The 13,409-nt window shown below is 33.1% G+C and overlaps 2 long non-coding RNA genes across 2 annotated transcripts; one reads left to right on the plus strand and one right to left on the minus strand.

Annotated features, from left to right (window-relative positions):
- Positions 1-5,017: 5,017 nt before the first annotated feature.
- LOC124900803 (uncharacterized) lies at positions 5,018-5,681 on the minus strand. Its single transcript, XR_007058352.1, has 2 exons — positions 5,427-5,681; positions 5,018-5,326 (listed from the first exon to the last, which is right to left on the minus strand). It is a non-coding gene; the product is annotated as an uncharacterized LOC124900803 (long non-coding RNA).
- Positions 5,560-9,451, plus strand: LOC124900804 (uncharacterized). Its single transcript, XR_007058353.1, has 2 exons — positions 5,560-5,647; positions 9,274-9,451. It is a non-coding gene; the product is annotated as an uncharacterized LOC124900804 (long non-coding RNA).
- The last annotated feature ends 3,958 nt before the right edge of the window (positions 9,452-13,409 follow it).

Genomic DNA, 13,409 nt, shown 5'->3' on the forward strand with positions numbered 1-13,409 from the left:
CACACTATATATATGCAATATATATACACAATATATATATGCAATATATATACACAATATATATATGCAATATATATACACAATATATATATGCAATATATATGCAATATATATGCAATATATATGCAATGTATATGCAATATATATGCAATATATATGCAATATATATGCAATGTATATGCAATATATATGCCATATATATGCAATGTATATGGTATATATATGCAATGTATATGGTATATATATGCAATATATATGACATATATATGCAATGTATATGCCATATATATGCAATATATATGGCATATATACGCAATGTATATGCCATATATATGCAATATATATGCAATATATATATGCAATGTATATGCCATATATATGCAAAATATATGCAATATATATATGCAATATATATGCCATATATATGCAATATATATGCAATATATATATGCAATATATATGCCATATATATGCAATATATATATGCAATATATATGCAATATATATATGCAATATATATGCAATACATATGCAATATATATGTGCAATATATATGCAAAATATTTGCAATATATATGCAATATATGTGCAATATATATGCGCTATATATATGCAATATATATGCAATATATACGCGCTATATATATGCAATATATATGCAATATATATATGCAATATATATGCGCTATATATATGCAATATATATGCAATATATATGCTATATATATGCAATATATATGCAATATAGATGCAATATATACATGCAATATAGATGCAATATATGTATGCAATATATATGCAATATATGTATGCAATATATATGCAATATATGTATGCAATATATATGCAATATATGTGCTATATATATGCAATATATATGCTATATATGCAATATATATATGCTATATATATGCTATATATATGCAATATATATATGCTACATATGCTATATATATGCAATATATATATGCTACATATATGCAATATATATGCTATATATATGCAATATATATGCTATATATATATGCAATATATATGCTATAGATATGCAATATATATGCTATAGATATGCAATATATATGCTATATATATATATATATGCAATATAAGCAAATAATTTATATTGGATTTCATGAAGTATCCTAATGAGACATTTGTAGGATAAGGATTTGTCAGATAATAGGGGATGGAGATTAGTTTTCAAATGTACATAGGAAGGCCTATGCAGTGGAAAAATCTTATTTCAAATAAGAAACTGCAGCCTGGACAACATGGCAAAACCCCCTCTCTACAAAACATACAAAAATTATCTGGGCACGATGGCTTGTACCTGTAATCTCAGCTACTCTGGAGGCTGAGGTAAGAGGCTTCCTTGAGCCCAGGAGGCGGAGCTTGCAGCAAGCTGAGATAATGCCACTGTACTCCAGCCTGGGTGAGAGAGAGACCTTGTTTGAAAAAAAAAAAAAGAAAAGAGAAGGAAAAGTAGGCCAGTGTGACTTGACTTGACTACAGTGAACAACAACAACAACAACAAAATGACAGAAAAAAAAATAGGCAGGGACTCACCACTTAGGATTTTGTACTAATGCTTGTAAAAATACAATTGTATACCCAAGCCTATTGAAAGTTTTAATTAAGGGACTGACATACTGACTGCAGTTGAGAGTCACATACTTTTGTAAAATGTGGCAAATCATTGGATTATTTCAAGTGCAATTGATAAAAGATTACAGGGAAACACGGAACTGGTAGAGAAGAAATTAACAGACTCAGATGCATTTTTTCAAAGAACAGTGAAAAAAAGGTGTTTTTAATTTTTAAAATGTTATTTTATTATTTAAAATCAATAGTAGCTCATAATACATTTGCAAAAAAATCCTGTTCAAGCACTTATTACATTTTTTTCTAATTTTTACATATAAATATATATATAATTTTTTTTTTAGACGGAGTCTTGCTCTGTCACCAGGCTGGAGTGCAGTGACACAATCTTGGCTCACTGCAACCTCCGACTCCCTGGTTCAAGCAATTCTCCTGCCTCAGCCTCCTGGGTAGCTGGGATTACAGGCACGTGCCACCATGCCCAGCTAATTTTTGTATTTTTAGTAGAGACAGGGTTTCTCCATGTTGGCCAGGATGGTCTTGATTTCCTGACCTTGTGATCCGCATGTCTCGGCCTCCCAAAGTGCTAGGATTATAAGCGTGAGCCACCACGCCCAGCCTCACAAATATATTTTAATTTATTAATTAACATGACATATGACACATTATTTCTTAAAAATTTACAGCTATCAAAGTAATCTTAGGGGTCATCTAGTCTAATTTTCACTCCAAATTATAATCCCTATATACATTTTTCCCACTAGTTCTCACTGATGTTACTTAAAAGAAAAAAATCTGTCCCATTGTATTAAAATGAGTCTATTTAAATCCAGAGAATTTCAGCTCCCTGAAACTTCTGACTTTTAATAATATAAAATCTGCCTTTTAACTTTTACTTCAAATTACTTAATTAATAAACTGCCAGTGACTTATTCTTGCTTCACATTCATGAAACATCTAAAATCCTAAATTATTACTATATGTTTAAACAAGGTTTAGTATTCTCCCAATGTTTTTGTATTCTGTTAACACGGCAACCTAGTATGGTATTCTACATTTCTAAGCATTCTGTCACTTCTCCTTTCGCTTTGATCCTTCTTTTGATAACTTCATACAAAGTAATATCCACTTGGCTCATCGCTTCTTAGATAATTTAAGACTCTATCTAGATATTATCACTTTAGTAACATTATTAGATGACTTTGCATTTCTTGTTAGTATGTGTTGTATTTAAACAGCAACATCTTTTTGTTTGTGGTTTCTGTCAAGTTCTTTTTTTATTTCAATCTGAACCCAAGTGATTTTTCACTTAAATTCTTCCTTAAAATTATCTATTTCTATATATGAATATATTCCCAAGAAATATTGTATTATGCCAATACCTAGTTTATTATATATGTTGATTTTGCACAGCCCTATCAATGTTAATTACAGTGTGTTCTTCAGCACTATATTCAATGATTTAGCCATGCTTGTCAGCATTTTTTCCTTAGAATATACTTGACTCTCTATTGTTGCATGTTAAAGCCATTTCACTTTTGCATTCTTAAATATAAATGAAGGAAAACTAGTTCCTTTAAACTTTAAGATTATAATTTGTTTTTATTTATTTATTTATTTTGAGACAGAGTCTCACTCTGTTGTCCAGGTGGAGTGAAGTGGCGTGATCTCAGCTCACTGCAACCTCCACCTCCTGGGTTCAAGTGATTCTCCTGCCTCAGCCTCACAAACAGCTGGGATTACAGGCAAGTGCCACCACTCCTGGCTAATTTTTGTATTTTTAGTAGAGATAGGTTTTTGCCATGTGGGCCAGGCTGGTCTGGAACTCCTGAACTCAGGTGATTTGCCTTCCTCAGCCTCCCAAAGTGCTGGGATTACAGGCTTGAGCCACTGAGCCTTGCCTAAGATTATGATTTGTGCTATTAATTTATTGAAAATAATTTTCTTTTTCAAAGTAGTTATATCACTTTCTAAATTGTTCAAATGTTTCCTCATTAGCCCTACTTTCTTTACAAACATGTATATGTATGTTCATGTAATATGTATGTATATGTAATATGTGGCATTTAAAAAGCAGGCACATAGCTTAGTTATTATGGTGGTTCCATATCTATTTTTGTGTCATCTTTGATGTTTAGAGTGACTATATGACCTGATTTGGACGATGAAATGTGTGGAGTAATGAAGTGCATCGTTTCTGGGTGAATGATTTAATAGCCAGTGTATTAGTCAATGTGTTGTCATACACCACCTACAGCTAATATGGAAACTTGTACTGACATGGAGCCCTTAATGCTTAACTGTTTTTCACTGAACAAAAAATTATTTCCTTTATATTAAAGAAATTATTTACGTAATTTAAAAATAAGTATGAATCAAATTTATATGACAGAATATGGACTATTAGCACTTTTTAAAACACAATTATCAGAACGGGGGCTTGGATATGGCATTTTATGGTGTTTGATAGTGTTTTTTTGGCTCTAATTGGAGTATTAAGTACTAATACTGTATTAATAATTGCACTTTGGGGTCATCACGATACTACAAGAGTTTTATAGATATTGCTACTAGCCTTACTGAAATCCATTTTCTCTTTTGCCTTATTATAAAAATCTTCATATTTATAGAGTAGAAACATAGCCAATTAAAGTATTCAGGTAACCAAGGTCCTAGAAAGCTGGCTACTTAACATTTTAGGATAATCATTTTTGTTATAATTTAGTAAATAATATTCATTTTACACTGAATAACACTCATTTATGAAAGTTTCTCAGGTGTTTCCTCACTGTATTTTCTCACATGTAATATGAAGCCATGATATGCCATCCTGGAGAACAAAACACGGTCATGCTTAACAGCAGGAAGACATTCTGAGAATCGTGTCAGCTAATTTTGTCTTTGTGTGAACATTATAGAGTATACTTACACACACCTAAATGGTACAATCTGCTACATACCTAGGCTACAAGGTACAGCCTATTGATCCCAGGCTGCAATCCTGGACAGCATGTTACTTTACTGAATACTGTAGGCAATTGGAACACAATGGGAAGTACTTGTGTATTTAAACATAGAAAAGACACAGTAAAAATACAGTATAAAACAAAACACGGTACACCTTTTTTTATGGTATGGGACACTTACCATGAATGGAGCTTGCAGGATAGAACTTGCTCTGGGTGAGTCAGTGAGTGAGTGGTGAGTGAATGGGAGTCCTAGGACGAGACTGTACACTCACTATAGACTTTATCAGCACTGTACACTTAGGCTACACTAAATTTCTTTAAAAAGTTTCTTTTTTCAATAATAAATTAACCTTTGCTACTATAATATTTTTACTTTATAAGCATTTTAATTTTTAACGTTTTTTGCTCCTTTGTACTAACACTTAGCTTAAAAGACAAACACATTGTTCAGCTGTGCAAAAATGTTTTATTTCTTTATATCTTCAGTCTATAAGCTTTCTTCTATTTTAAATTTTTTTAACTTTTCTGTTAAGAAGTAAAATACAAACACACCCATTAGCCTAGGCCTGCGTAGGGTCAGGATCCTCAATAGCACTGTCTTCCACTGCCACCTCTTGTCACACTGGAAGGTTCAATTGCCCACTTCAGGGGCAATAGCATGTATGGAGCTGTCATCGTCTATGATAACAATATCTTCCTCTGGAACCTCTTGAAGGACTTGCTTGAGGCTGTTCTACAGTTAACTTTCTGAAAAACTAAGTACAAGGAGTACACTCAAAAATAATGATAAAACATATGGTAAATACATAAACCGATAACATAATTATCATCATGATTAAGTATTATGTACTGTACCTAGTTGTATTTACTCTACTTGTATGTGACTGGCAGCACAGTAGGTTTGTTCACATCAGCTTCATCACAAGCCAGTGAGTAATGTGTCGTGCTATGATCTAACAATGGCTACAACATCACAAAGCAATAGGGATTTTTCAGCTCCAATTTAATCTTATGGGACCACCATCGTAAATACAAGAAGTCGGTGATTCATGCGTCATCATGCAGCTCACGACTGTGTAAGAAAAGGTTTCTGGGTAGGACTTTTGGACAAGCTATTTAAAAGAGGTCAGGCTCAGCTGCCTTTTCTCCTTGCCTCCTCCACTTTGCTCTTCATCATTTGGCCTTTTTCTGGCTTCCTGACTGGAGGACAGATGGGATAAGCAGAAGAGGAGCAGCTAGATAACCACTGCGAGGAAAAAAAAATCATACGCTAAAAATGGCAGAGAAGGATGGAGACACCACCCCTGAATGATTTTCCTTGCAATTATTATTACATGAGAAAAATAATTGCTTATATAGTTCAATTAACAAAATTGTTGAATATCTGTTACATGAAGCCAAAAGCAATGACTGACTTACTATTCTCTGCATAGTTTGGGAGAAAATCAACACTTTAAATCTATTAAATACATAATGTATCTTAAAAATAAATTGCTAAAATTAATAAAACCACAACAAACCTGTGCTTTCCACCCCTTCACCTCTCCATTCCCCTTTTCATTTTTCACCTTTTGCAAACAAAAGTTTAATCACAGGAAGTAGTTCCAGTTTAGAGCAAAGTTCAAGATTCCATAAAAACACAAACAATATTTTAATACATATTAAATAATTTAAATTTATCAATATGATACGAAGTTTCTAGCTAGAATGCACAGTGATGATAATTATGCTGTTGAATGAAAACTGGGTTGTGATACTGATTCTCAGTTTGATTAAGGCATAATATTAGGCAGTTATTTTATGTCTCTAAACTTCTGTTTCTTCATCTGTCAAATGCTAATACAATATTTATTTATTTTAAACTTTTATTTTAAGTTCAGGGGTACACGTTCACGTTTGTTATACAGGTAACTTGTGTTATGGGGGCGATTGTTGTACAGATTAGTTTATCACCCATGTATTAAGTGTAGTATTCATTAGTTACTATTTCCTTATCCTCTCGCTTTTTCTACCCTCCACCCTCTGATAGGTGCCAGTGTGTATGTGTGTATCTGTATGGTTTCATGTATCTATATGTTCTCATCATTTAGCACCCACTTATAAGTGAGAACACGTAGCATTTGATGTTCTGTCCCTGCATTAGTTTGCTAAGGATAATGGCTTCCAGCTTCATCCATGTTCCTGCAAAGGACATGATCTCATTCTTGTTTATGGCTGCATAGTATTCCATGGTGTATATGTATGTACCACATTTTCTTTATTCTGTCTACAATTATAGGGGCATTTAGGTTGATTCCATGTCTTTGCTATTGTGAATAGTGCTGCAATGAACATTCATGTGCATGTGTCTTTATGACAGAATGATTTATATTCCTTTGGGTATATACCTAGTAGTAGAATTGCTAGGTCAAATGCTATTTCCGTTTTTAGGTCTTTGAGGAATTGCCACACTGTTTTCCACAATGGTTGAACAAGCTTACACTCCTGGCAACAGTGTATAAGCATTCCTTTTACTCCACAACCTCACCAGCATCCGTTATTTTTTGACTTTTTATTAATAGTCATTCTGACAGGTGTGAAATGGTATCACATTGTGGTTTTGATTTGCATTTCTTTAATGATCAGTGATGTTGAGCTTTTTTTCATGATTGTTGGCTACATGTATGTCTTCTTTTGAAAAGTGTCTGTTCATGTTCTTTGCCCACTTTTTAATGAGGTTGTTTGCTTTTTTCTTGCTAATACAGTATTTATGTCAGAAAGTTATTATAATGATGACCATAATTCCATAATACATGCTCAGTAACTGATGTATGTTTAATATTTTTTTCTCATATGTCTTGAGGTATAGGTATTGTTAAAGAGAGAATCTTTGCTGTAGAATTGAGCTTCATCCTGGGCATAGAGGATTAATTTGATATTTGTGTAATTTACTCATTTTAGGGAGTTGACTTAATTCTTCAGAAACAAAGATTATTATTTTCCAGTGGAGGATATTAAAACTTATTTTTATTCTGAGTGTGTTTTATTTGAGTCCAATGCTACAAAAGGGTGGTACAAAAACATGGAGTATGTTTTCCTTAACTCTGAAGTCTAGAGTAGATATCAACATATGAATTTGGGGGAGGGAAAGACAAACTAAATATTTAGTCTATAAAAGTAGGATTCTTTACATGTATTAGGAACTGCTCTCTGTGCACACTGAAATGAGATTTAAAATGTGGAAAGAAAGCAGAAATTGCCTTTATTTTTAGATACCTTCTACCTGCAATATTGTCCAGATACAGGGAGTTTCTACCATGTCACTGAAGTGTCCAGTCTCTCGCTTAACAGATGTTTAGAGGCAATTTTATTGACAGCTGCAATCATTTCATATTGTAGAATCAAAAATTCAGTGGTGAATTTTTAAACTTGGAAAGTCCTGTGGTAGCTTTCTGATACCTTCTTAGTGGTGCCCCAGGTGTTCCCCTCTCTGCTGGGTCTGTTTTAAAAGATTCCGGGGACCCTTCTGGGGAGACCAAAGAAGACCATACTACAAGAACTCTCTCTCTCTCTCTGACAAATTACAATGAATTCTTAAACACCAAATTACATGAGTTAATTTTTTTGTGGTTGAAATATGTAGAGTGGTTTGGTTATCGCTACTGAACCCTCATGAAGAGTACCTGCAAACCAGAAAGATATTTCAAATTCAATTTATTTATTTATTTTAAATGTTAAGGTCTTTCTTCTTCTCCATTTTCTCTGCCCCTTCTGTTTCTAATTACTACTCCTTCAACTTCATAGTTCTGCTTTAAAAACATTGTTAAAACTAGTTTTACATTAGTTGACGCTTTAAAAAATTTTGCATCTCTGTCCCTACACTCCTAATTCTCACATGCTGACTTTACCTGTAGAAATGACTTTATCTCTAACAAAAAAACTTATCCTCACTCTAAAGTGACCCTGTCCGACATGTCCAGACACTTAGGTGAAGATCGTCATGAATTTACTGGAAGTAAATTAGAAATCCAGGAAGACTTTTATGTTAAATATTGTCCTTGGTGATGAGAAAAGCCCATTTGTATCCATGAATAATAAACAATGTTTCCTCTGACATTCTATTCTCAAAAGTTTTAAAAATGTTCTATTCAAGAAACCAGGATTTTTCTTACATATTTATGCTTATGTGCTCATTTCACTTTTGTTGGACATGGCAAGTGTTGATCAAAAGGAAGAAAGGAAAGAAAGAAAGGAATGATCAATGTAAGAAAAGAACAGAAAAAAATCTAGTGAGTAGAAAGATGGAAAAGGGTATTTTCAATTACAGAAAGAGAAATATTGAATGCGGTATAAGAATAACAAAACTGAACATGAAGAGGAGATATAGATAGATATAGATATAGATATAGATATGGATATAGATATCTATTAGCACCCAAGATGCATCTCTCCACTGCCACCTTGTAATTTGTACAGTTCCTCTTCCAAATTTTACACCGAGTAAGTCTATGCAACCAGTTGATTAAGCAGAAGTTACGCTGTGTAATTTACAGGTTAGGTTATAAACACTGAGCAGAGATTGTCATTGGGCTCTTGCTTGCTTATGCTGTCATTCTCTTTCTCTTTCTTTCATCCCTCACTCTGGGTGAGGTCAGCATCCGTGTGTTGTGTATAGCCTATTAGGAGACCCACCTAGCTGGGAACTGAAGCCTCTTTCTATCAGCCACAGGAATGGGTTTGAAAAGAGATTGCCCAGTGTCTTCAGATGACTGCAGTCACGACTGACAACTTGGTGCAACTTCATGAGAGATGCTGAGCCACAACCACCCAGCTAAGTCATGTTCACATTCCTAACCCTCAGAAACTGTGTGAAATAATAAATGTTTAAATGTTTGTTGTAAGTTCTGAAGTTTTGAAGTAATTTGTTACACAGCAATTGAGAGATAATACGTGAATATATAGATACATTGATGTGTATGTATATGTGTGTATATAAATTTACAATTAACTTTGATGAATGTTGCTGACTAAAGTTAAATATAACAATTTAAAGTCAACATTGTTTTCAGTGCATTATTGGAATAGCTTGGCAGAGTCCTTAAAGTAACCCAAAATATAAATTCCTTCTGCCATCTATTGGTGACTTGAATAACTTCCCAGATTATTTTGTAGTTTTATTCTTTTAAGGATGAGCTATATTTGAAATGTACACAGATATATTCTAAGCTCTTGAATATTAGCTGTTTAATATTGACAAAAATTTTTTATCATTCCTATTATCTCACTAGATAACCACTTATCCTAGAGAAAACATGTTTATTTTAATATAAAAAGTTTTTAAAAATCTTCTTTTTTTGCTACATTATTTCTAAGCTTAGTGTCCTTTAATAAAATATTTAATATTATGCTTTTCAAATTTTATTTTAAAAAATTTCTAAATTCTTAATAATTTACTTTCAGCAAAACTTACTTTCAGCATAGTTTTAGTGTAAAGTGCATTGCATTTTTTCACCTCATACGCTCCCCATGATATTCCCTGCTTCAACTGTCTTAACTGAGCAAAAGAAATAGGAGGCGATTAGCAATGCTCACACAACACTTTATGCAAAATTATTTTCTTTTAGAACAACTAATCTGGTGCCACCTTATAAATGTTTACATTCCACACTTTCAAATTACTGTAGGTGTTTGTTTTTCCCCATACTTTATCTCCTATATTACTTTTATTCTGTACATTATAACATTCAAAGTAATTTCAGAGTGTTAAATAATGATGATAATGAATACCTCAAAAAGAAGAAAGCAAGATATATTAGCGCAATAGAAATATATCAAATAGAAGGATAAACAGATTGATCGATTGATATATAGATCTCATTTGCAAAGATTAGAAGAAAAATTCTAAAAGCAGTAGTAAGTCCAATTCAGACAAACCAAATTTATTCTTTTGTTATACTGGTTTCTCCTGACTATAAATCGTTCTGTCCCAGTGGGCTAGTCATTATAGAAAATTAGTTAGTGTGTTACTTCCATGCTGAGTAGAATAGTTCTGTTATTAAAGCATTTTTTTCCGTAGGCAGTATATTGACACTTGCGTAATTTAAGAAAAAAAAATGAATCTCATCAAACACCTGGTATTCATTAGTGCTTTTTATCCACCTGGTATTCATTAGTACTTTTTATCCATGTATTCCTGCTCAAAATTTTGATCACTTAGTCCCTTCTGTGTAGATGACACAAACAAAGCTCTCTTAAGTGAGAATTTATTTTCATAAGCCAAGCTTACAGCGCAACACAGCACATTTATTTTCCTTTTAATGTTGAAGATGAGATAGAGTTAGTGAGGTATTTACGAAAGAGTTGATTGAAAAGAAATTTATGAGAACACAACTGACATTTTCTCATTTTTGACTTACCTTTTCTGACATCTTATGGGAACTGTGACTGAACCTGTCAAGAAGAAATTAACGAGGACTCAGGGGATAATTTCTTAATGTACAATTAGTGAGCAGTTTTCTTTTATGGCTCCTTTACAAGTAGGATAATACAGAAAATCATCTACAAAGGAAACTCTATTCTCCTGTTTATGATTAATTTTGACGTTGTTAGCAAATGTTTTCTTGTGACCATACTGACCTTACAAATTTGTGTATGAAAACCATGAAGAAAATATTTTTAAAGGGGTTATTCTAAAGTCATTAGTGGCTGAATGACACAATATTTTATAAAATTTTTCATGTTAAATCGAGATGTAAAGATAAATTACTACAGTATATATTTCATTGAAAATTGTATAGAGTAAATTTATATAAACAGAAATTAATAGTTGTTATACCTGTATATTTTGTCATACTCCTTATGTAGTTGTTCAAATTTACTACCTTTGTGATGCATATGTGCATTAAATATTTACAAACAATATTTTAGTTTACTGAATTGTTCATTATTATTGTGTTGTACTGACTAATGTATATTTAGAATTTTTTAAAATTATAGGAATTACTGTTGATTGTGGAAGCCACAACTTTATTCTAATCCATGTAAGTGTTTTCAAAGCTAATGCATCATTGTTTTGAATACATGGCCCAATAATTGCTTAGTACATGATGAGTCTATTGAACTTCGTATATTCTTCCAAAAAATGGAATCTGATGTCCTATAGAAACAGACTCAGTCAAAATAAGGAGATTGAGAGGGTCTTTGAAGCTGTATTCACACATGAGGGAATGAAATACTGCCTGTGATCTTAAAATGACAGCAAAAAAGAAAAAGACATACAAAATGGAAGAAAAAAGAAGACAACTAAAAAACACCCATATTTAGAAAGAGGCAATGAAGAAAAGATATTCCCAAAATATATTGGTATATCCTATAGCATTTTGTGAATCCTAGAGGGTAAGGATTTGTTAGGTGAGTAAAAGGACCAAAGAATGTCCTTGGAATCAGCTTAGGAACTCAGTTCTTTGGAAATGGACTGTTTCTTGGCACCTGCTTGTGCGTTCTATTCTTCATTTGTTCATTCAGTAATCAGGTATTTAGCATCTTCTGTATTCTGAAAACTGTTCTAGGCATTGAGTATTTTTCAGTGAACAAAATTAGACAAACATCTGCCTTCACTGAGCTTTCAGTTTATCCTGGTGTCTTTGATGCTGCAAGAGTTTTACTTGTCAGGTATGATTAAATGTTACACTAAGAAAAGTAATGAAGAAGAATTTCCGCAAGGGTGTAAGAGTAGAGACATTATCATCACAACAATCTACTTCTGACTGGTACTTGAAGATTCACTTCCAAATTGGTTAGCTACATGAATTGCAATATTTTGTTTTATTATTTTGGAATTTCTGATAACGCAGCTCCTTTGGTAAACTGCTTATCGATTCAGTTTGGGGTCTCTCTTGGTGTATGTCATCTTCAATCAGACTGCTTCCCAAATCACCAAATCTGATACATTTTTCTGGGTTTCTGTTGCCCATTATTTTTCTCCTGGTAAAAGCATTAATCTCAGCACAGAAGAGTAATGGCTTTCAGTATTGGAGATGTAACTTTCCTTATATAATCTTGAAAAGTTACTTTGTCCATGGTACATAAGAATTCCAACCTCAAAGTGGAGGAATCTTCACATTGGGGAAATAGAGAGAGATCCATTGCAGACATTTTGAAAAGACCTGGAGGTATATGTTCCCCTGTTGTCCAAGCCTACTCCTATGTCCCCATTTTCCTTGCCTAAGGACAAGGCCAGAAAGAGGCCAGCAAATTCCCTATTCTTTAATTTATAATTTTTTAGTTGAGATTAGAACTGTATCCCCTGAAACTAGACGTATAGGTAAACATCTCTACAGCTAAATGACTGAGACCTCTTATTGCAAAATAATACCAAATGACATGGACTGAATGTTTGTGTCCCTCCAAAATTTATATGTTGAAGCCTAATCCCTAATGCAATGGTGTTTGGAGATGGGAGCTTTGAGAAGTGATTAGGTCAGGGCCCTAATGAATGGGATTAGTGCCTTTTGAAGAAGAGACACAGAGAGCTTACGTCATCAATGGGATCAGTACATTTAAAAGAAGAGACATGTGTCTCTATCTCCTTCAGTTCTGCTCTGATCTTAGTTATTTCTTGCCTTCTGCTAGCTTTTGAATGTGTTTGCTCTTGCTTCTCTAGTTCTTTTAATTGTGATGTTAGGGTGTCAATTTTAGATCTTTCCTGCTTTCTCTTGTGGGCATTTAGTGCTATAAATTTCCCTCTACACTCTGCTTTGAATGTGTCCCAGAGATTCTTGTATGTTGTGTCTTTGCTCTCATTGGTTTCAAAGAACATCTTTATTTCTGCCTTCATTTCCTTATGTACCCAGTAGTCAT

The sequence above is a fragment of the Homo sapiens genome, chromosome 4, assembly GCF_000001405.40.
Source record: "Homo sapiens chromosome 4, GRCh38.p14 Primary Assembly".
Taxonomy (NCBI): domain Eukaryota; kingdom Metazoa; phylum Chordata; class Mammalia; order Primates; family Hominidae; genus Homo; species Homo sapiens.